Consider the following 24,210-nt stretch of genomic DNA (forward strand, 5'->3'; position numbering starts at 1 on the left):
GTTTTTTATTTTGCTGGGAGGAGATACGTGATTTCCACGTATACTCTTTGGTCTGCATCTCAGGTAACTAAAGGAATTAGCAAATGGCTCTCATTTACCATCTGACAGTTATTTGCTCTTAATTTCATAGTGCCTTTAAGTGTTAGGCTGTTACATGCATTCTCTCATCTTCTCACTTAATTGTACATGGTGGAGGGTATGGGCCATGTTCAGTTTCCCTTTATTCTTTGAACCTATCTCTTCTAGGCCTTGTCTGCTCTTGGGGAAGATGGTCTTCTTTGCATGTTGGCCTTTATCAGAAAAAACAAGAGCACCTGAAGACACACAGGCATGTGCACATACGTGCATGCACAAACACACACTTCCTGGAACAGCAAAAGAATTAAGGAAGAAGTTATTGAAACCGTAATGTATAATTAACAATTGCAGATGTTCTGAGGAAAGAGAGGGGAGTCAAAGGAATCGGAGTGGGCCCCATATGTCTTTAGTGACTCAATTCCTGACTCGGTGAACTCAAAAGTTGCTTACCTTTCTGCAGATGAGTAAACTTAGAATCACAAGTTCATTTAATCCCATTCAAAATGGCAGGCTTTTAAAACTAAAAATATAAATAAATACCTATAAACACACCACCCACAAGAACTAGAAGATAACCAATAACACATGTTGTGGGGCAGGACCTGATGTGGTCATGTGTTCCATCTCAGTTTGAATCCTGGCTCTGCTGCTTCCTAGCTGTGTACCTTGGATAAGTCATTTACCCTCTCTGCTGCAGTTTATCTGTAAAGTAAGACAACAGTACACACTTGATAAAATTATCATGAGCATTAAGGAAGCTACTGTGCATAAAACTCTTCATATGATGTGCCAAGCACTGCTCTATGTTTGTTAGTAGTATTTATGTGCCTGTATATATATTACCGTATACATTTAGATCTCAGAATATTCAGCAAAAGCTAATCTAGCCTCATGGAAGCTACTTTCTATAGCCCTGGTTCTATTATTTCCCTTAAAACCTGATGAATAAATGAAGAATTAGGACATGATATCACCAACTCATGAACCTCAGCCATGGAACCCCAATGCCTGGCACAATACTACAAAAAGGACTTGAGAAAATACTTTCCTAGTAAAATTACAGGATTAACCAATATAAGAACTGTAGGCAGGCCGGGCGCGGTTGCTCACGCCTGTAATCCCAGCACTTTAGGAGGCCAAGGCAGGTGGATCACAAGGGTCAGGAGTTCAAGACCACCCTGGCCAAGATGGTGAAACCCCGTCTCTACTAAAAATAAAAAATTAGCCGGGCGCGGTGGTAGGCGCCTGTAGTCCCAGCTACTCAGGAGGCTGAGGCAGGAAAATCGCTTGAACCTGGGAGGCAGAGGTTGCAGTGAGCCGAGATCGTGCCACTGCACTCTAGACTGGGCGACAGAGCAAGACTCCACCTCAAAAAAAAAAGAACTGTAGGCTATGAATGTCCAACACTACTTTCTTAGCACCACTAGAAAGTAGTGACATGGCACTGAGAAAGTGGTTTTATTTTCCAGTTTGAAGTAAACTATTGGCCAGAGTGGGATTTTTGCACCCATATGGGAAAGCAACACCATTAACCATTTCCTCCCCACACGCATTCCAACATCTGAACCCAATCCTACCAACACCCAGAAAGCAACAACAATGTAAACATCCATATTCAGTTTATTTTTAAACAGAGGGGCACGTACCCACAGAGAAGCAGGACTGAGAACCATCATGGGGGCTTGCTTGAAGTGATCTGCCCCAGCCTTCTGACTTCAGAGTGTCTCATGATCCAATGGCCATGGGGACGGAGCTGCCCCTTGATAGGATGCACTTAAGCATGGTCAATTCCCCCTTCCCCCAAAGGAAATGGAGAAAAGGAGCCAAGAAGTCAATGAATCCCTGGAATATTGTCCCAGAATCCTTCCAGGGATGGTATACGACTGGCCACCAGTCCACAAATGTGACTGGTAAGGGATCTAGTAACAGAGGATGGAGTTGGGCAGAATATTATCCTGGATGATATGCACCCAGCACTAGAATACACCTTTCATTAGAATGAAGAGAACAGACAAAGCCCTCAGAAAAGATACAAAGGCAGAGACATTGATTAGAACATTATCTCATAACAGAGGTGGGGCCATTACCCACCATTATTGTAAAATAACTGTAACTAACCAAAACACATACAGGCTTCTTTAATGGAGTTAATAAAACTATGGCACATTGGGAATCAGGGGCAGAGGTACTGTTCCCAGACGGAAAACTGGGATAAAGGGAGCCATGCTGACAGGGCCTTATTCCAGTCTAGGTTGTTAGAAAGGAGCCCTAGCCCAGAAATGACAGCAAATAGCCATAATCATTATGTGGGGCTGAACCAGAGGAAGCCAGGCTGAGCCAAGAAGCTGGAAGTATCTTGAACGGCTCTCCAAATCCAAAGATTATCCATACTCTTTATCCCTCCAGCGATGTGTAAAACCAGAAAGTATGAAACACTGGAGGTGGACATCTGGTTTTTATTTCTAGGATATCTTGATACATCTCATTACATTTCACAATCTGCATGGGAAGGAAAAGGATGGTAGAGAACATGGACATCCTGTCTCCCACTGCAAGGGCGTGGAACATGGTAAGGATACCCAGCTGTGACAGGACGTGGCAAGGCAACAAGATGCCTTGTGCCTGGCGTAGGATTACAGCCAACAGCCCTTTTGGCCTGAATTCACCTCCTCAAGGGGAGGTCTCCATGGAATGACCATGATTCCCAACATGGCCAGAAAACCCATCTATCCCACTCATGGGGCAGATGATCAGAGGAGCTGCACTTTTCCCTCCCGAGTAACTCAGACTGAAGTAGGGCCGGACAGGCCCACAAAAGGTAGCATGAGAGAAAGTGAAGGTGTGACACCTCTCTGTCACGTTGTAGAAGGAGACCTCACCAGCATCATAGTCCAAGAAAATCCCCACCCGCTGGAGCGGGGTCCGCAGGGGTAGGGCAGTCATTGGGGAGGTAAGAGCCCAATATTCTTTCCCATACCACAAAGACACTGCCCAGAATCCATTCTGGGGGGCTGAGGTTACTCCACCTTTTCTGCACACTGAGTCTTCACAGACACCTATGGTCCACTTGGCTTTATCTCCCACCTCTACCTCCCAATAATGTCTCCCGGCGATGAAGCATGGAGAGCCCAAGACACAGGGAAACAGATTGAACCTCTCGGGGTTGTCAGGCAGGTCCTGTTGGAGGTAACTGTACCGCACTTGCCGCAGATTATCAGAGAGGATCAGGCTGGGGTAGGCCGTGTCTGGGTCCAGAGTCACGTCCACTGTAGAGACACAAGGAAGACAGTCAGCCGTGGGCCAGGAGAGCCTATTTTAGAACACCCAGCGCCTTTCTACTACCTCCCCAATAATAAGAGGTTCCCACTGGAGGTTGCACGTATTTTATTTAGAATATATTCTAAACTTCACATTTCAAAAATTACTGCTTGGATTAGCTGGTTACCAGAATACTCTGAAAATACAGAATTTTAGCCCCGTATCTTTTCTTTCACATCTGAAGCCACAATATCCATCATGAACTGATTTTAAGAGATAGGGTCTTGCTCTGTTGCCTAGGCTGGAGCGCAGTGGTGTGGTCATAGTTCATTGTAACCCCAAACTCCTGGGCTCAGGTGATTCTCCCGCCTAAGACACCCAAGTAGCTGGGACCATAGGTGTGCACTACCACCCTAATTTTAAAAAATTTTTTGTAGAGATGAGGTCTTACTATGTTGCTCAGGATGGTCTCGAACTCTTGGCCTCAAGCAATCCTCCCACCTCAACTTCCCAAAGCAATGGGATTTCAGGCATGAGCCACTGTGCCTGGCAGATACGCTGAATTGAGGTTTTCTTACACGCTCATCATCCCTTATTCTGAAAATTCCAGGGGCCCCAAGTTTCATAGAATTCAGAATATTACAGGTTTTAGACAGGCAGCATTCTATAATGAAGTATTAATAGATCTGCTGTGAGATTCATGAATGTTTACATAATGAAGGATAAAGGCTCTAAACAGTACCACATAAATTCAGGTTTTGATGCTATAATTAATTTCCCACAAAATAATGAAAAAGGTTTTGGCTTTCAGAGATTTGGGATTTTAGAACTGTGGGTAAGGGACTGGGAACCTGTATCAGTATGCTTACTTTTTAAATCACTCTTTTAAAATTATTTTTTACTTTTTTTTATTTTTTGAGATGAGGTCTCACTCTGTCACCCAGACTGTAGTACAGTGGCATAATCATGGCTCACTGCAGACTTCCCATTTCAGCCTTCCAAAGTGTTAGGACTACAGGTGTGAGCCACTACACCCAGCCCAAATCACTCTTTTATCCATTCTATAAGATCTTTACTCTGCACATCGAAGCTCTATTCATCTTCTTCTAATGTCCAGTCCAAAACACACATCCTCCAAGTTTTTCTTAATCTGCCCAGGCCATTACACTTACTGTTCTGAAATCTAAAACTGTGTATGACCCATGTCATCTCCTCTGGCATTTAGTATTACAGCATCTTGCTATCATCAAGTGTTTTCCTGCTTCAAAAACACTGATAATGGGCTGGATATGTGGCTCATGCCTGTAATCTCAGCACTTTGGGAAGCTGAGGCAAGAGGATTGCTTGCATACAGGAGTTTGAGACCCTGTCTCTACAAAAAATAAAAGTAAAAAAATTAGGCAAGCATGGTGGTGCATGCCTGTAATTCCAGCTACTCAGGAGGCTGAGGCAGGAGGATCACTTGAGCCCAGGAGTATGAGGCTGCAGCAAGCTATCACCATGCCACTGCACACCAGCCTGGGCAACAGAGAACCTGCCTCTAAAATGAATAATAAAAAATTTAAAAAATTAAAATAATAAATAAATAAATAAAAATACTGATATGTATTCTCTCATTTGCTCCTCACATCTTGTTCAGGAGGAAGAGTCCCAAACATTACCTCTCAGAAATTTAAGCCCACAAATTTTTACTCCCACAAAAGACAGGCAACTGATAGAGGTAACCAAGAACCCCAGAACCCTTGGCTCCTGGTTCAACAATCTGTCTACAACAGCTGCCTACCTTCTTCTTGTGTCATGGGTATACCTCCAACCAGACAATGTAAACCCCAAGAGTAGGATGACTTATGCTCTTCTGTTCCTCTAAAATACCCTGCACAATGTTAGGCAGTGTAGGATACAAGCAAAGTACTCATTTAATACTTGTTGAAAATAAATATGGATCAGAGCCACTGCACACCAAGGACTGCAGATCCACTGTATGTAGAGTCCTTCTCTTCATTTAGAGGATAATTCATAACAGAAGGTGACTGTGACTATGGGACGAATACACCTTAGATTTGAATACTTCTGCAATGTTAAATTTACCCAGGCTCTATAGTAGGGTGAAAGCGGTTGTGAGGGGGAAGGGAAGTTTCAAACTTTGCTCTGAGGCACAGTGATGGGATGACACAAGACTCCTAGACTTCCTCTAGCACTCAAGAGCACTATTGTGGAGCTCAATCAGTCCTGCTTGTCACAAACCATGGTTTGACCCTGAAGCTGGGCGGGCAGAGCAGTGTACTAGTGTACCAGCTCTGTTCTACTTTTGGGGAACTGCGGTTTCCACCCTATAATCCTTCTTTAACACCTGAGATTGATTTTACCCTATGGCTTCAGCTCTGAGACATTTCAGGAGGCAAAGATACTGTTAACACATAGAAACAACTGAGGATTTTTGTGGTTGTTGTGTATCATCTTTATACATGTAACCAAAAGAATCCAAATCTAAGCAATTTCCAAATCATTCATAATAGTAGTTAGGTTCACAAGGATTTTTACTCCTTACCCTAATATGGTTTTGTCTCTCATCACCTACCTGAGTATAACTGAGCCTCTCTTAATTCTGAAAGAATAAAAGAGCAAAGTTATGGAAGTCATGAGGGTTTCCAGGAAATACATAACTAAGGGGGCTTTGGTTAGTCATCATAAAGCAGTGGTCTCCACCAGAAACCCCAGAACCTCTGTTGTTAGTCATGCACTAATTTTTTCATATGATGTATGGCTCTATCATCCAACCAAAAGCTTTAAGGGGAGAGGGATTGGGAATCTTAAGTACAGGGATAACCACATGCCTGAGACTGGTAGAATATGGGATAAAACTGAGCCAAGATCAAGAATTCCACCTTCCAGTGAGTCAGCTGATTCTGCAGAGGGAAACGCGGTTCCAACCCCACGTCATACATAACTTTTGAGTTGCATAAGTCATCTGTGTACAAGAGCTGAATGGCTCAAGTGACACTCACTGACACTCTGGGGTAAACATGACCATTCATTTATAAGGCACTTTATAGTTGAAACAGAATTTCTCACACATTATCCCACTAAGACTTTTAAGTGGCAAGAAAAGAAGAGCCAGATCAAGGAAAGTCATGCCTGAACTAACCACTTCTGGTATTATCCACTGTATTGAGTGGAGTTTCTCCCCATTTGTCTTGCTTGTAGAGGACATGTATCTGCTAGCTCTATGTTGCTAGATGCCCCAAAAAGTATATATCTGAATAGATGCAATGCATATATGAACCCAGCATATACAAAATAGAAAATTATCAAAGATTGTGGGGGTTTGTAATTTCTAATAATTAAGAGAAGGGTTTACCTACATATAAGGATTTCAGAATCCACCAGACTGCCCAGGAATTTTAGTATTCCTGGGTGGAATAATATATGGCCAACTCTTTACTGAATGTGGCTCGTGAGCAGAAAAATTTTAATTTGGAAAAGCTTCTCCAAATGCCTAGAACGATTTAATAAACATAAATATAGGACTTATTATGTGTCAGGTTCTATTCTAGAAGTGTTAGAAATGGTAACTAACCTTAATTCTTATACCTCAGGAGGTAAGAACTATTACTGTTCTGTTACAGATGAGGAAATTACTTGTTGAATCCTTACTAAGTGGTAGAGGCAGGCCCAGAACCCAGGCAGCCTGACTCCTGACTGCCCGCTCCTAACCATGTCCCTGGCGGTGCTGCCTGTCAGTGCTGCTGGATTCCTCCAGCCCGAGCTGGCACCTGTGCCCACAAGCAGTAGGAACTCAGTAAATTACAATGATAAACACTGGCTCAAGTGAAACGTATCCAAGGTAGTTTTTGTTCATTCTTTCCGAAGTAAACAATCAAATTAATTCTGGATTGATTAATTTTTGGATTGCTTATTTTTCTCCTCCATCAATGCAGACTGCGAATTGACTAAATACAGTTAACAAACTTCAAATTAGAACAAGAAGCTGTTAATTGAGAAAATTAATTAAGACCAAAGGGAAGATGTAAAATATCAGGGAAGGCTGGCCAATGGGTATCACCCTTATCCCACGTTTCCCACTTTCAGTGCAGATGTTCTTTTTTCCAAGCAACTTTACATCAAAAGCCCAGTAGGTAGATAAATTTACCTTGGATTTTCTCCATATCTGACTGCATTTTTTCTAAGAAAAGAAAACAAGAAAATATTCAGTCTGCATCCCACTATCTGGCTGGAAAATTATCCTCTTCATCAGGCAATATGCAGATACTCAGTATAAATCCATTTCCCCTCATGACACCTCTCCTCACATTACCTGTGAACTGCTTTAGACTCTCCGTCAAGAATAGACATTTTTGGGCAAAAATGTGGATTTTCTCTTGCAAATCTGGAGGTGTGATCCAAGGTTCAGGAATCCTGATTCTTTCAGCCCTAAATTTAAAAAACATGAGTAAATTTTTTTTTTTTTTGAGATGGAGTTTCGCTTGTTGCCCAGGCTGGAGTGCAATGGCGCCATCTCGGCCCACCGCAACCTCTGCCTCCCAGGTTCAAGCGATTCTCCTGCCTCAGCCTCCTGAGTAGCTGGGATTACAGGCATGCGCCACCATACCCAGCTAATTTTGTGTTTTTAGTAGAGATGGGGTTTCTCCATACTGGTCAGGCTGGTCTCGAACTCCTGACCTCAGGTGATCCTCCCGCCTCGGCCTCCCAAAGTGCTGGGATTACAGGCGTGAGCCACCACGTCCGGCCCAAGTAAATTCTTTTTCCCAATTCCATGACCTTCCAGGAACTAGGACAGGGGCTAAGTTAAACTGTCTAGCGTACACGGACAGTCTTTAAAATCAGCCACTACAGCTTTTCCCACCTTCTCTTCCTGAGCTATGATCCTCTAGACCAAAATAGGATACTGTACTCATTCTCATACCCCCCAAAGCACCTAGCTCACAGCTTTTCAAATACTAAGTACTCAAAAAGGTTTACTGAATTACATATGAGGCTGACTTTGCCAGAAAGCACTAGATTCCATGACAGTCCTTGATATTTATGGTGGGCAATTAACCCGAATTCTCAGGTTCCCAAATATGGAAAGAATGACATGTTCAGATAGAAAGGCACTGTGGGGGACATTACCCAATTCCCTAGCCCTGCAAGGATGTCTATAGCAAAGACTGCCAGTTGCCTATCCAATACCCCTTCTGCCATCTTCTGCCTTTTATGGCTCACAGCTGCCCAGTCCCTCATAGCTAGATGTGACCTTGTGACTAAGTTCTGGCCTATGAGAAGTAAGACGTATCTCATGGTGTTTTGAGAAATCTACTTAAAAATGTAACATGACAGGAAACAGTGGCTCATGCCTGCAATCCCAACACTTTTGGAGGCCAAGGTGGGATAATTACTTTGAGGCTAGGAGTTCAAGACCAGCCTGGGCAACATGGTAAGACCCTGCCTCTACAAAAAAGAAAAATGAAAAAAAAAAAAAAAAAAAAACGAAGAAAAAAAGGTAATGTGATGCGACTTATCTCCTTCTTCTTGGTTGGCATTCTACCAGCTATTGTGGACTATATGAGGACCATACCTTAGGGATGGTAGAACAGTGAATGGGAAGAAACCTGAGTCTCTGAGGATCACTGGAGTTACCACACTAGCCACAGACTACCTACCTGCACATTTCTTACTTTTTTTTTTCTTTTGAGAGGGAGTCAGGCTCTGTCGCCCAGGCTAGAGTGCAGTGGCATGATCTCAGCTCACTGCAACCTCCGCCACAAGAGTTTGAGCAATTGTCCTGCCTCAACCTCCCAAGTAGCTGGGATTACAGGCATGCACCACCACGCCCAGCTAATTTTTGTATTTTTAGTAGAAATGGGGTTTCACCATGTTGGTCAGGCTGGTCTCGAACTCCTGACCTCAGGTGATCCACCTGACTTGGCCTCCCAAAATGCTGGGATTACAGGTGTGAGCCACCGCACCCAACCTGCACATTTCTTTTATTATGTTTAAGCCTTAAGCCAATAAAATTTTGGGTTTCCTATCTTATATAGCCAAATTCAATCCTTAATGTCACAAACTGCTAGGGTCTGAGGCAGCTAACTCTGTATGTTAGGTCACAGCTAGACTGGCATCATAAAGTATCAGGTAACAGTATTATTTGCTTAGGTCATCTGGCTGGGACTGGTATGAACTCCACCTTATCTCCATCCTAGGATCCCTCAGGAACCTCAATTCCATCAACATGATTCTATCAACACAGGCCTCCCAGCCAAACTGCCCCATCTATAAGGACCTCCCCAATCTCCTTAAATGCTCCCACATAGTCAAGCTGCATTTTGCTTTAGAAGGTTTTCACCATTCAGGATCTTAATCACCTTCACAGTACAGCTTCCTCAAAGTCAGTTTCCACCCCTGAAGGCATTCTTACACCAAACATGAGCTTCCCAAGGCCCATCCCACTTGCCTCGTCATCCATCCTGCAAAACAACTTTGCCCTGGCTTACTGCCCCCTCCAAGCTCTCCCTCTTTGATCGTGTTCCAGCTGCCAGGGAGTTCTTCCTCACTTTTTTTTTTTTGATGGAACATAGAGAAATAGCAAGAGTAAGAATAAGAGCCAGAATCCAGGTGGCTCATCAGTAATTATGTAAATGCAGGCCAGTCACACCTTTCTTAGGCTTTATTTCCCCCATTACAGAAAAAAAAAAATGAGATAATGAAGGGGGAAAGGATTCTGAAATGTATAGGAAGCAATAGACATAAACTACCCTTATATTCAGCCCAGGTCCCTGTAAGGCCACACCCTCTCCATGGAAGTGTCCTCATACCCCTAATCCACCGGCAGCCTCCCACATGAACCCCCTACTTCCTGAATTTTACTGAGTAGAGCTGTGGTTCATCTAATTCTTTGTATACTAGTGACTCTCTTCAGGGATATGTGTCAATTTGATAAGATGTCCATCCTCAGGCTCAGGGCTCCTTTCAGGATTTACAAATGTGAAGGAGACAGTCTTCTCATATTTGATTTAACACTAGGGAAACAGAAAACTATACCTGCTCAATGTGTCCCCAATGTCCTGCAAGAGAAAGGAAAAAAAATAACCATGAGAAGTCATTTAAAACTTCGGTTTTCTTTCACAGATGTTTGTTGAAAAACCAACTACAGACTGGCTCTCATGGGAGAAATTAGGGAGAAAAGGATCACTGGAACATAACTCAGTGTTGAGGAGCTAAAAGGCAGGCAGAGGAAAATGGGATGCATACTATTTGCTATACCAGCATTTCCCATACCCTCCTTCAGTACCCACCATCCACTGGTCAAGGACCTCAGGATTTCAAATTTACTAACTTAAGCGTCCTATGATTGGACCTCAAGCTTGCCTACCTGTCCAGCTTGCTTTCTTTTTATTATGAAATAATTTCAAATACACGGAAAAGCTGTTAGTACAAAGAACTCCAGTATACTTTTTTTTTTTTTTTTTTTGAGACGGAGTCTCGCTCTGTGTAGCCCAGGCTGGAGTGCAATGGCGCGATCTTGGCTCACTGCAACCTCTGCCACCCGGGTTCGAGCAATTCTCCTGCCTCAGCCTCCTGAGTAGCTGGGACTACGGGTGTCTGCCATCACGCCCAGCTAATTTTTGTGTTTTTAGCACAGACAGCATTTTGCCATGTTGGCCAGGATGGTCTTGAACTCCTGACCTCAGGTGATCCACCCACCTCGGCCTCTCAAAGTGCTGGGATTACAAGTGTGAGCCAGCGGTGGCCTCTCCCTTCTTTCATACACAAAAAGTAGCATACTCTTGTCAGGCGCGGTGGCTCACGCCTGGGCAACAAGAGTGAAACTCTGTCTCAGGAAAAAAAAAAAAAGTAGCATACTCTCTATTTCACATTTTTATTTTCCACAAAGCAATATATACTGAAAACCACTCCGTATCAGTTCATAGGTATCATTCTTTTCCTTTTTTTAACTTGGATAGTATTCCATAGTGTATATGTGCATAATTAACTAAAACAATCTTGTAGGTTTCTAAGTCAGACTATTTCCAGTATTTTGCAATTATAAAAATGTTGCAGCAGGTTATCTTGTGCATATGTATTTTCAAATATATTTTAATAGTTATATCTTCAAAGTAAATTCTTAGATTTTTAAAATTTTTTATTGATACGTAACAGACATATATATTTTGGGGGTGCATGCGATAATTTAACATGTTCATAATTTGTAAAGAAATCAGTGTATTGGGATATCCATCACATCGTTAAATATTTGCCTTTTCTTTATGCAAGAAGCATTGCAATTATTCTCCTCTAGTCACTTTGGACTATAAAATAGGCCAGGCGCAGTGGCTCACGCCTGTAATCCCAGCACTTTGGGAGGTCCAGGCGGGCGGATCACCTGAGGTCGGGAGTTTGGGACCAGACTGGCCAACATGGAGAAACCCCGTCTCTACTAAAAATACAAAATTAGCCGGGCATGGTGGCGTATGCCTGTAATCCCAGCTACTCGGGAGGCTGAGGCAGGAGAATCGCTTGAACCCGGGAGGCAGAGGTTGCGGTAAGCTGAGATCTTGCCATTGTACTCCAGCCTGGGCAACAAGAGTGAAACTCCATCTCAAAAAAAAAAAAAAATATATATATATATATATAATATACGTATGTATATGTGTGTGTATATACATAGATATATATAATAGTTTTGTAAACTACAGTCACCCTACTGACCTATCAAACACTAGCTTTTATTTCTTCTATCAAACTGTATATTTGTACCCATTAATCAATCTCTCATCTCTCCTCCCTCTACCCTTCCTAGAAAAATTGTTAATTCTAACTGTGTGTATACATACACACACACACATACAGTTTTGTTAAATATTGAGAAATTCTCCTCCAAAAGGGTCATGATTTTGCATTCCTACCAGCCCACTGGCATATGAGTGTCTCTCCGACACTTCGTCAAAAGTGTATTAAGTTGAAAATTTTTGCTATTGTAACGAGTAAGAAATGGTATTTTAGTGTGGTTTTAGTTTGCATTTCTCTTATTATAAGTACAGCTGAGCATTTTTTCACATGTTCACAAAGCAATTTATGTCTTTTGCAGCTTGTCTATTTGTGCCTTCAACCCATTTTTCTCTAGAATTTTGGTCTTTTCTCTCGCAATACTTAAAAGGTCTTTTTATATTAGAACTATCACTTGTATTTGTGATATTTGTGGCAAATATTCAATTTTAATACTATCTTTTGACTGGTTACAATGTGTGTGCGCTTTTTTCTTGTACTAATACCAACAGCTTTAATTATATGGGCTTTAAAATATGGTGTAGTATCTAGTAGGGCCAGTTCTCCCTCAGAGCTCTTCTTTCACAGTGTAGCCTACCTATGTTTTTTTTTTTTTTTTAAGACAGAGTCTTGCTCTGTTACCCAGGCTGGAGTGCAGTGGTGCAATCATAGCTCACTGCAGGCTCAACCTCTTGGGCTCTAGTGATCTATCCCAGCTTTTTTTTTTTTTTTTGAGACAGAGTCTTGATCTGCCTCCCAGGCTGGAGTGAAATGGTGCGATCTCAGCTCACTGCAACTTCCACCTCCGGGTTCAAGAGATTCTCCTGCCTCAGCCTCCCAGGTAGCTGAGATTACAGGCATGTGCCACCACACCTGGCTAATTTTTGTATTTTTAATAGCGACGGGGTTTTGCCATGTTGGCCAGGCTGGTCTCAAACTCCTGACCTAATGTGATCCACCTGCCTCGGCCTCCCAAAGTACTGGGATTACAGGTGTGAGTCACTGCACCCGGCCTATCCCATAAAAATAAGCACATAATAATATGTGCTTATTTTATATGTGCATATTATTATGTGCTTATTTTTCTATCTGAAGTTGACTGTCAATTTGTCTAGATCCAGAAAAAGAGCTTGTTGGTATTTTTATTGAAATTGCAAGGGTGGGGGGGGGGGGATGAGGGATAACAGATTACTTAATGGGTACAACGTACACTGGGTACCTGGGTGATGGTTACACTGAAATCCGAGACTTCACTACATAATATATCCGAGTAACAGAAAAAAAAAAGAAACTGCATTTATGAATGTGAAGGACAACTTGCTTTCCCTGTCTTATCAAAGAATAAGTGATATCTCTTTATTTGTTCAAGTTTATTTTGTGTCTTTCAGGAATCTTTGAATGTTTTATAATTTTCTCCACATAGGTTTTTGTATATTTCTTATAAATTTATTCCCAGATATTTTATCACTTGTTTTTTTTTTGCAAATGGAAACAGCATGTTCTCTTCTAATATGTCTTCTAGTGGCTGCTATCTGGCATATGAAGGCTGCTGATTTCTGTATGTTAACTTCTTTCCCAATTTGTATACCTATAATTATTTTATTTAACTGAACTGGTTAGAACCTTTAATGCAGTGTTAAATAGAGATAAATGATACTGGGCATCCGGCCTGTTTCTGACCTCAATGGGAATGCCTCCAGTATTGCCCCATTAAGTAATATTTATCCTGCTTTTCCAGTGACTTCCAACATAAACACTTTTTGATATTCATGGAGCCCCTCCTCCCTTACTGAGTCCATGACTTCTTTCTTTCTCTCCTTTCCTCATCATCCACCTTCAGTTTCATGCTCCATCTGTTTAAAAAAATATTCTTAAAAAAAAAAAAAAAAAAAAAAAAGAAGCTTTAGACCAGGCGCAGTAGCTCACGTCTATTATACCAGCACTTTGGGAGGCCAAGGTAGGCGGATCACCTGAGGTCAGGAGTTGAAGACCAGCCTGGCCAACATGGTGAAACCCCATCTCTACCAAAAATACAAAAATTAGCTAGGTGTGGTGGTGTGTGCCTGTAATCCCAGCTACTCGGGAGGCTGAGGCAGGAGACTCACTCAGGAGGTGGAAGCTGCAGTGAGCTGAGATTGTGCCACTGCACTCCAGCCTGGGCAACAGAGTGAGACTTTGTCTAAAAAAAATTTAAAAAAAGGTTTTAAAGCCTTAATTATGGTGCTTGCTTCAGCAGCAGATATCCTCAAATGGGAACCATGCACAGATTAGCATGGCTCCTGCACAAGGATAACACACAAATTTGTGAACCATTTTCTACTTTTTGTGTTCAATGTTCACAGCAGCACTATTGACAATAGCCAAAAGGTGCAAACAACCAAAATGCCCATCGACTGATGAATAAACAAAACATATTATATATCCATACAATGGAATGTTATTCAGCCATAAAGAGAAATACTGAAACATATATATATGTACTGAAATATATATTTTTTCATATATATATTTTTTGAGATGGAGTCTCATTCTATTGCGTAGGCTGGAGTGCAATGGCACGATCTCGGCTCACTACAACCTCTGCCTCCCAGGTTCAAGTGATTGTCCTGCCTCAGCCTCCTGAGTAGCTGGGATTACAGGCATGCGCCACCACGCCTGGCTAATTTTTGTATTTTTAGTAGGGACGGGGTTTCACCATGTTGGCCAGGCTGGTCTCGAACTCCTGACCTCGTGATCTGCCCACCTTGGCCTCCTGAAGTGCTGGGATTACAGGCGTGAGCCGCCGCGCCTGGCCAGTACTGAAACATATTACAATATGAATGAATCTTTAAAAAAATATGCTAAGTGATAGGCCGGGCGTGGTGGCTCACACCTGTAATCCCAATACTTTGGGAGGCTGAGGTGGGTGGATCACCTGAAGTCAGGAGTTTGAGACTAGCCTGACCAACATGGGGAAACCCCGTCTCTACTAAAAATACAAAATTAGCCAGGGGTGGTGGCGCATGCCTGTAATACCAACTACTCGGAAGGCTGAGGCAGGAGAATCGCTTGAACCTGGCAGGCGGAGGTTGCGGTGAGCGGAGATCGTGCCGTTACACTCCAGCCTGGGCAACAAGAGTGAAACTCTGCCTCAAAAAAAAAAAAAAGTATGCTAAGTGAAGAAAAAGGCTACGTACTGTATGATTTCAATTATATCTAATATCTAGAATAGACTAATCCATAGAGCCAGGAGTTAGGGGTAGAAGGAAATGAGGAGTGATTGCTTAATAGTGTGAGGTTTCCTTTTGGGTGGTAAAAGTGTTTTAGATCCAGACAGTGGTTGATAATTTACAACACTGTGGATTTACTAAATGCTACTTTGTGCCAGAGTTTTACACTTTAAAATGGTGAAATTTAGGTTACGTATATTTTACAATTAAAAAAATGAAGAAGGCTGGAAGGCTGGATGTGGTGGCTCACACCTGTAATCCTAGCACTTTGGGAGGCTGAGGCGGATGGATTGCTTGAGCCCAGGAGTTCAAGACCAGCCGAGGCAACATGGCAAAACTCCATCTCTACAAAAATTACACAAATTAGCCAAGCATGGTGGTTTACGCCTGTAGTCCCAGCTACTTGGGAGGCTGAGGTGGGAGGATCATCTGAGCCTGGGAGGTCAAGGCTGCGGTGAGCCATGATCATGTCACTGCACTCCGACTGGGTTTCAGAGTGAGACCCTGTCTCAAACAACAACAATAAAAACTAAGGAAAAAAAAACACTCAAGTCCATCTTGCAAAACCCCAATCCTGGATGAGACTGACCATCTGCTTACTCAGTGCCCACGCCAGAGCAGTCAAGATTTGAGAAAGCAAAGCTGATAAGAAAGTTACACGACAGGGGCTGGGCACGGTGGCTCGCACCTGTAATCCCAGCACTTTGGGAGGCCGAGGCAGAAGGATCACCTGAGGTCAGGAGTTCAGGACCAGCCTGGCCAACATGGTGAAACTCCGTCTCTATAAAAAATACAAAAATTAGCTGGGCGTGGTGGCACACGCCTGTAATCCCAGCTACTTGGGAGGCTGAGGCAGGAGAATTGCTTGAACTTGAGAGGGGGATGTTGCAGTGAGCCAAGATTGCACCACTGCACTCCAGCCTGGGCAACAGAGCAAGAGTATGTCTTAAAAAAAAAAAAAAAAGAAAGTTACACAACAGGGCAGAATGGTTACACTATAAATAGATGTTCACTGACCAAATACTCCTACTAGTTCTCGCAAACCAACTGTCTTTCCCATACTCTGAAACAATCATTTCTTCCCATACAACAGAAGACTCTCTGACACTAATTCCTGGCATATGTACTTTAGTTCTCATTTCCACCTGCCTTCTCAGGAACCGCACATTGCTGATCAGTACATGGTTTCTTTCTTCCTTTCTTTTTTTTTTTTTTGGAGACAGGGTTTCGCTCATTGCCCAGGCTGGAATGCAATGGCGCAATCTCGGCTCACTGCAACCATCGTCTCACTGGTTCAAGCGATTCTCCTGCCTCAGCCTCCTGAGTAGCTGGGATTACAAGCATGTGCCACCACACCCGGCTAATTTTGTATTTTTAATAGAGATGGGGTTTCTCCATGTTGGTCAGGCTGGTCTCAATCTCCCGACCTCAGGTGATCTGCCCACCTCGGCCTCCCAAAGTGCTGGGATTACAGGCATGAGCCACCGTGCCCGGCCAGTATATGGTTTCTTGTGGCTTCAGTGTTCTCCCTCACCTAGAAACCTTACAACATATACTCCTTTCCATATGTATTTTGAAAATATGTCTAACTTCTAGTTTCTTTAACCAACCCTTCCAGATAAAACTCCATAATCCTGTCTCGTCTCTAAGTATTTTATTACAACCCCTTAACAGTTGTACTTGAAATAGTCATCTACTTGTGTAGTCTCCATTCACCTGACCTAGTCACTACTCAACTCCCCCTAATGTGGCTCCTGCCCCAATTATTCCATTGTGATAGTTCTACCTAAGATCACCAATGATGGTCATGTTATTGAATCAAATGGGTATCAGCTTTGATATTATTTGACCTCAACTGCATTACTATGCTGTCCACTCCCTTCTTGCTTCGTCTCAAAAATAAAAAAAGAAAAAAAGAAAGAAAGAAATACATTTTTCTGATTTTTACCATTTAAAAATGTAAACTGGCCTGACGCTGTGGCTCACACTTGTAATCCCAACACTTTGGGAGGCCGAGGAGGGCAGATCACGAGGTCAGGAGTTTGAGACCAGCCTGACCAATATGGTGAAACCCCGTCTCTACTAAAAATACAAAAATTAGCCAGCCATGGTGGTGTGCGCCTGTAATCTCAGCTACTCAGGAGGTTGAGGCAGGAGAATCGCTTGAACCCAGGAGGCGGAGGTTGCAGTGAGCCAAGATCGCACCACTGCACTCCAGCCTGGGCAACAGAGCAAGACTCAATCTCAAAATAAATAAATAATATTAAATTAAAATTAAAATGTAAAAACCATACTTATTGCCCAGGACATACAAAAACAGGGGATGGACCATAATTTGCTGACCCTTGCCCTATGCCATCATCCATTTTTATTTTTATTTTTTATTATTTATTTATTTTTTTGAGACAGAGTCTCGCTCTGTTGCCCAGGCTGGAGTACAGTGGCGCGATCTTGGCTCACTGCAACCACTTCCTCCTGGTTTTGGGCAATTCCTTGCCTCAGCCTCCCGCGTAGCTGGGACTACAGGCACACCGCCATGCCTGGCTAATTTTTGTATTTTTAGTAGAGACGGGGTTTCCCCATCTTGGCCAGGCTAGTCTTGAAGTCCTAGACCTTGTGATCCACCCGCCTCGGCCCCCCAAAGTGCTGGGATTACAGGTGTGAGCCACTGCACCTGGCCCGCCATCATCCATTTTTAATGGCTTTTATCAAATACCTATAAGAACTATCTGATCGCCACACTAAAATATAATTCAGGAAAGCTTATTTGGCACTTAATCCCAGTGCCTAGAATAGTGCCTGACACAAAGCAAATAATTAATACGCACTGAATGAGCAAACGACAGACAGGCATTAGCTCATTTCCTGTAGTCTTGCCGGGGTAGGTCTGCTGCAGCTTTATCACCTGCTCTACCAAGGTTAAATCACAGGACTGCTCAGGTAACCTAACCACTCCTGCTCAAGTGCTCATTGTTTTGTGGCTATAGTAATACATTAAAACTACAGGATACTGGAGTGAGGAGAGTCTTTGAATGACATGTGGTCTAAGCCCCTCATTACTGAACAAATGAGGTCACTGAGGCCCAAAAAGGTTGAGAGCCTTGCCTGTAATCAGACCACTTGTCAGTGCTGTGTAGGCACAAGCACCAGGTCTTCTTTTTGCCATTTCTATGAGACAACGCAATTGACTAATTCAAGTTGTGTGAACCAGAACTTCTAGTTTACACAGTTTCCTTCCAAGGTGCACAATATAGAGTTTGGCAAGCTCTTGCTATTCCTGCAGAGTTAAAAAGAAGACAGGGGGTCCTGGATACTACTTGGCAAAGGAGAAGGGACGATATTTTCAGTGGGTGCTGCTCTAGCAGGGCTCTGCAAGCCTTACCTGCAGGAGCTCCCTGGTGGGCTGCTGCTGCTTCTCTTCTAGCTGAGCGATCAGGCTGCTGAGGTGGGAGATGTTGCAAGAGAACTGGGTGATGGCACCATTGATGCTATTGTAGATGGCCAAGTCTAGCTCCTCAAGGCGGGCCAGGAGGCGATACTCATGCTCCTTTAAGGAGTGATACAGCTGCTCAAACTCCCAAACAATCTTCTCCCTCTCCATCTGGGTTAGGCTCTATGCAGACGACAGGGAAAGGCAGTAAAGAGAAAAACGGCTCATTTCTAGGGCCTTCATAGTTCTCCTGTGACCATGTAGCCCAAGACCTCATTATGGATTAAAACAAGCACAGTGCTAACTCATTATTTCCAGTCTTTACTGACTGGATATATAATGCCCAGGAACTGAATTACCCCAGTGATTATTAAGACATAGTCCCTGTTCTCAAGCAACTCAGAGAAGTGAGTCAGGTTCATATGATATACATAGTCATGGATGGGTAATTAAAGATAGGGTGACAGCCTGCAATGAAAGAAACTGGTACCATCTTCACAGAAGCAATTTCACACAATGTTCATGTGATGAACAAGAATTCACCACATAGGCAATGAGCGGGAAGCCTTTCCAGGCAGAAGAAATGGCACAGGCAAAAGAGTGGGGAGAGAAAGCAAATGGTGCTATCTGGCTGGAGCACATGAGTGTTGAGGGAAGGGACCAGAAAAGGTAAGGCCTTGTCATGCCTGGCCTGGGAGGCTGGGGGTAAGGACTCTATCCCAACTGGGAAGCATGGAAGATTGTCACACAGGAAAGTGACAGGGTCAGATATGTGCCCTATGGAGGATGGAACAACCAATAACAGCTTCCTTGCCCAATTTCCCTGGGCCCTTCATATGTAATCCATACCCGCTGTCTGTCCTTCACGGGTGTTCACCAACTGCTGTCTCTAGCTTTGGGTAGGAGGGGGAGAGGTGCTCTCCCCACGATTCCCTCTTGGCGCTCATTTGTTTGCCATAATTTACTGTCCTTCGTTCTTCACCCAACCCCCACCACCAACAGGACTCTATTATAAACTTTTGTTCTAAACAAGGAGCCAGGCTGGGCGCGGTGGCTCACGTCTGTAATCCCAGCACTTTGGGAGGCTGAGGTGGGCGGATCACCTGAGGTCGGGAGTTCGAGACCAGCCTAACCAACATGGAGAAACACCATCTCTACTAAAAATACAAAAATTAGCTGAGTCTGTTGGCGTACGCCTGTAGCCTCAGCTACCTGGGAGGCTGAGGTGGGAGAATCGCTTGAACTGGGAGGCAGAGGTTGCAGCGAGCCAAAACCTCACCATTGCACTCCAGCCTGGATGACAGTGAGACCCTGTCTTAAAAAAAAAAAAAAAAATTCCCATATACCCCTAATATAAATTAACACATCAGCCACTTGTTAAGGCCTTGAGACTGGAGGAAGAGGGCAGAGTAAAAAATTCAGAATTAAGGCATTGTTAAGAAAGGAGAATAAGCCAAAGAGAAGCAACAGTGGGGATTACACAAATCCACTATTAGCAATTGTCTGCAGAATGGTACCAACGCAAGCTAACTGTATCCAATAATTTTACCTATCTCAGCTTTGCCAAGGATCAACCCTGGTCTACGCAGTTAGCAGGTTAAAGTAAACTGACAGGTCTGATTTCCAAGGGTTCCAAACTTGGCTTCTCCATGCTTTCCCCAAAAGTAAGGGAATCTTAGTTCTCCGGGTGAGTTCCCACTGCCATGTGCGGTTGATCCACCTCTACCTACAAGTTCTGGGTGACATGCTGGACAAGTTTAAGGGAAGTAACATCAGCTCTACAGAAGAGGAGAGCACCAGCAGAACCAACTGTGAATTCCAACAACCCTTACCAAGAGTTCAGCTCGTGCCTGTTCCCCCTGGGCCCGACGTCTCTTCTTTAAATCTTTCACTCTTTTTAAATGGTCGAGCTGGTTCTGGATTTGCTCCTGAGAAAAGCAAAACAGATGGGCAGTTCAAAATTAGGTAGACCTTAGCATCAGCATGGTACTTCTTATCACACATGGAGTCCACACACCTGATGCCAAGTCTCCAGTTGGCGCTTGTCCTTAGGCCACACTGCCACCCACAAGAGACTCAGGGCGCAGGGGCAAACAAGCCACTCCTTTGGCAATCTGTGTCTATCTTAGCAGCCTGTGGCTTCAACCACTCAGCTACCTCGTCAGGACTATTTGTGTCTATCTTAAACAATGAGTCATCTACCTGTCCCTGGTAGGATATTGCATGACTTAGCGGAACTGTGACTGGAGTAGGAGGCTTAGAACTATGTTGTATTGTAGCTCTTCCATATAGGTACACTGTGAAAGTGACTTATTTCCCTCATGTGTGAAATGGGCAAACACCATCTTCCCAACCTACTCAAGAGTTCTCACCAGAGTGAGTGAAATAATATAGCTGAAAGGTCCATAAATGTTAAGTGATTGCACATGAATGTACTCATATTTAAACACGGACATAATTGTGTACGCATTCCTGAAGCCCTCAACGTACAGAAAATACACAGTATCATGGACTCCTTGAAGGTCACCTTACAACTGTTTTATATGTAATACTTTGTTTCCACGTTTCTGTTTAGCTGTGCCAGTTCACAAAGGGCTCTGTGAGTCACATGATTCCACAATATTCCTCATAACTGTGTTATCTCCTGAGTCTCAGAGTGGTTAAGTGACTTACTCCAGCAGCGAAAAGCTGTTCTTTTCTGTGAGTTTCTAGACCAGGACGGATTGCAGGAAAGTGCTGGGGAAATGCTTATAGACTAAGGAATGGGCATAAGTCAGTTAACGTCCAACTGCGTTTTGTCTGAGAGCCGATGGGAGTAAGAGTGTCTGCAGCTTGTCGATGTGTACGCGGTTTTATGCACTTCTTTTAAACTGTCAAAAGGATGTCTCCGTGTACAATGTGTCCGTGAGACAGGTAACATGGGGGTAAACAGAGAAAAGAGAGTGGGGGTGGGGACACTCCTGGCTTCCTCGCCAGCTACAGGTTTTCCTCCAAATCTGAGTGCTGAGGCTCTGGAGCGGACAGAGAGGAAATGACGGCTGTGAACCACACGTCCGGCTCAGCCATTTTCTAGGCGGAAAAAAGGAAGCCCCTTTGGCTCTCTCCTCCCTTTGTCCGACTCGCGCTCCCGCCCTCCCGGATCCGCGCCCTCACCTTGAAGCCCTCCACCGCCTCCTCGAGCGGCAGCACGCTGTGGCCGCGGTGCTCGCGGGAGCGGTCGCACACCACGCAGATGGGCATCTGGTCCTCCTCGCAGTACAGCTTCAGGGGCTCGCGGTGCTTCTCGCACACGCCCATCTCGCCGCCGGGCCCCGACGGCCGCTCGGTGCGCAGCTGCTTTACCAGTTGGGTCACGTTGGCCAGGTGCCGGTTGGGCCGCATGTGCCTCTGCGGGAAGGTCTCCCGGCACTGCGGGCACGACACGTTAGTCTCTGCCGTGCCCCAGCAGCGGGCGAGGCACGCGCAACAGATGTTATGGCCGCAGTCGAGCATCATGGGCTCTGCGAAGTACTGCAGGCACACGGGGCAGGTGGTCTCCTGCTGCAGGCACTCGGCCACACTCCCGGAGGCCATGGCGCCGGCCTGCGGGGGCGCACGGGCATGGGCCCCGGCGCCGAGCTCTGCACTGAGCCCAACTCTCCGGCGCTCTCTCCGGTTCGCTGTTCCTGAGAGGCACCGGGCGGACGGAGGGCGGCGCCTCCCGGGCCCGTATCCCAGACGCGCCCGCGCACCGAAGGCTTGGAGTGGCCGGGCCGATGCCTGCGCCTGTGCCCCCTAAGCGAGAGCGGGAATACGGCCGGCTCACCGAGGCTCGCGGCCACGCTAGTGGGGCAGGAAAGGGTAGCCGAGGGTCAGAGTCCCAGGGCCAGGCGGGCAAAGCGCGCAAGACAACGTGGCCGCGTCCGAGCGGATGCCGGCGGCAGCGTAAACCCCACCCCAGCGCGAGCGGAAGAGGCGGCTCGCGGGGGCGGGGCTTGGCTCGCGCTTCCAGCGAGTGACAAGGTTTCGTGGCCTGGGGGCCTGAGCTGTTTCCTCTTGGAAAGGCCGAGGAGGCTCCGCCACTCTCCTTTGGACTGGTCGCGCTGAAGCTCTATCCTAGGGCACTGGTCGCAAGAGCAGATGGTGCCACACGCTCCGGGCCTACAAACTTCAGCGGCTGCCGGGCCCGGGCCCCTCGTCTTTTGTTGGGTTTCCTCTTGGTGCCAGGTCTCAGCCCCTGCAAAAGAAAGCTGGCTTTGGCCGCGCGCAGTGGCTCGCGCCTGTAATCCCAGCATTTGGGAGGCCAAGGCAGGTGGATCACGAGGTCAGGAGATCAAGACTATCCTGGCCAACATGGTAAAACCCCATCTCTACTACCAATAGAAAAATTGGCCGGGCGTGGTGGCAGGCGCCTGTAGTCTCAGCTACTCAGGAGGCTGAGGCAGCAGAATCCCTTGAACCCAGGAGGCGGAGGTTGCAGTGACCCGAGATCGCCACTGCACTCCAGCCTGCGGGACAGAGGGAGACTCTGTCTCAAAAAAAAAAAAAAAAAAAAAAAAGAAACGAAAAAATGAAAGCTGGCTTTGTATAGGTGCTGGGGAGCGCAAACACCTGGCCTCCCCAAGAGGCTGGAGGATGAGGAGGGTCACCGACTGAGCCCACCTGATAAGTGAGGCCTTTTATTAAACAGCCCCATTTGTAGGCACTTGCAGTTTTGTTTAGAAAAAGAAAGGTTTAATTATCAGATGGTAACATTTCTGTGTGTCAATAACAAGCCCAGTTCTGCTACCTCTCACTTGTGCCCAAGCAAGTTGGTTTACCATTCATTTACCTCAGTTTCTCCTCGTGTGAAATGGGGATGATAATTGTACCGCAGTAAGAAGTAGATTTCGTTACATCTTTTACTTTTTGAACCATAAGATTGTTTATCCATTAAAATGGTATTAAAATGCCCACTACGTAGGGTTGTTGTATTGAGTAGCAACTAAAAATTGCTTGCTCCTTTCTGAAGTATAGAGAAACTAAGAATCCTGCGGTGACCCAGGGTCTTGGAGTCCCACAATACTCATTGTCTTATCATCCAGTAGACCTCCAGCATTTTTAAGTTGCTTTCTTATCCCTTACTTGGTGTTTCCTAGTTTTCTTTGAGATTTTCTCAATATTGTCTTGCTATCTGAGCAAGGCGGGCTTCTGCTTCCAGACCATCACTTTATTTTTATTTTTTCAAAGTGAAAGTAAGATTATTAAGAAAATAAAGGAATAAAGAATGGCTACTCCGTAGGCAAAGCAGCCCACATCATCACTTTAGAGAGTTCCACTCTGGTCCTCTTCCCCATGGGACAAGAAGTCTGAGGGATTAAGTGGACTTGCCAGCCCCAAACCCACATCTACCTTCTCAACCATACTCTGAGTACCCAGTCATTCAAATTCCAGTCCCAAATAGCTTTAGCCCATTTCCAGAAAAATGTAGAGTACTTGGGCCAGGCCACACCA

The 24,210-nt window shown here is 44.8% G+C and overlaps 1 protein-coding gene and 1 pseudogene across 1 annotated transcript, besides 2 other annotated features; one reads left to right on the forward strand and one right to left on the reverse strand.

The window, feature by feature from the left end:
* Positions 1-1,680: 1,680 nt before the first annotated feature.
* Positions 1,681-22,664, reverse strand: TRIM27 (tripartite motif containing 27). Its single transcript, NM_006510.5, has 8 exons — positions 21,892-22,664; positions 20,571-20,666; positions 18,691-18,921; positions 10,375-10,397; positions 7,652-7,767; positions 7,487-7,519; positions 5,915-5,941; positions 1,681-3,344 (listed from the first exon to the last, which is right to left on the reverse strand). Exons 1-8 carry the CDS (start codon positions 22,309-22,311, stop codon positions 2,749-2,751), a joined length of 1,542 nt encoding a protein of 513 aa, NP_006501.1. The 5' UTR covers positions 22,312-22,664; the 3' UTR covers positions 1,681-2,748.
* On the forward strand, positions 14,324-14,423 carry RNU6-930P (RNA, U6 small nuclear 930, pseudogene; annotated as a pseudogene).
* Positions 21,403-21,934: an enhancer, noted in NCBI's record as "NANOG-H3K27ac-H3K4me1 hESC enhancer chr6:28890501-28891032 (GRCh37/hg19 assembly coordinates)". NCBI's record gives its function as "activates a minimal SCP1, AML or CMV promoter by ChIP-STARR-seq in primed H9 embryonic stem cells {active_cell/tissue: H9 hESC(primed)}" and the evidence as "EXISTENCE:reporter gene assay evidence [ECO:0000049][PMID:30033119]".
* Positions 21,935-22,466: an enhancer, noted in NCBI's record as "NANOG-H3K27ac-H3K4me1 hESC enhancer chr6:28891033-28891564 (GRCh37/hg19 assembly coordinates)". NCBI's record gives its function as "activates a minimal SCP1, AML or CMV promoter by ChIP-STARR-seq in primed H9 embryonic stem cells {active_cell/tissue: H9 hESC(primed)}" and the evidence as "EXISTENCE:reporter gene assay evidence [ECO:0000049][PMID:30033119]".
* Positions 22,665-24,210: the final 1,546 nt, after the last annotated feature.

The sequence above is a fragment of the Homo sapiens genome, chromosome 6, assembly GCF_000001405.40.
Source record: "Homo sapiens chromosome 6, GRCh38.p14 Primary Assembly".
Lineage (NCBI taxonomy): Eukaryota > Metazoa > Chordata > Mammalia > Primates > Hominidae > Homo > Homo sapiens.

What these genes read in the sequence shown, in the direction of transcription:
- TRIM27 (NM_006510.5), bottom strand. Translation starts at nt 22,311, where the DNA reads ATGGCCTCCGGGAGTGTGGCCGAGTGCCTGCAGCAGGAGACCACCTGC. An exon ending in AGGCGGTGGAGGGCTTCAAG is followed by an intron (nt 20,667 to 21,891) that starts GTGAGGGCGCGG and finishes TGCTTTTCTCAG; the next exon opens with GAGCAAATCCAGAACCAGCT. An exon ending in ATTGGGGACACATTGAGCAG is followed by an intron (nt 7,768 to 10,374) that starts GTATAGTTTTCT and finishes TTTTAAATTTAG; the next exon opens with GGCTGAAAGAATCAGGATTC.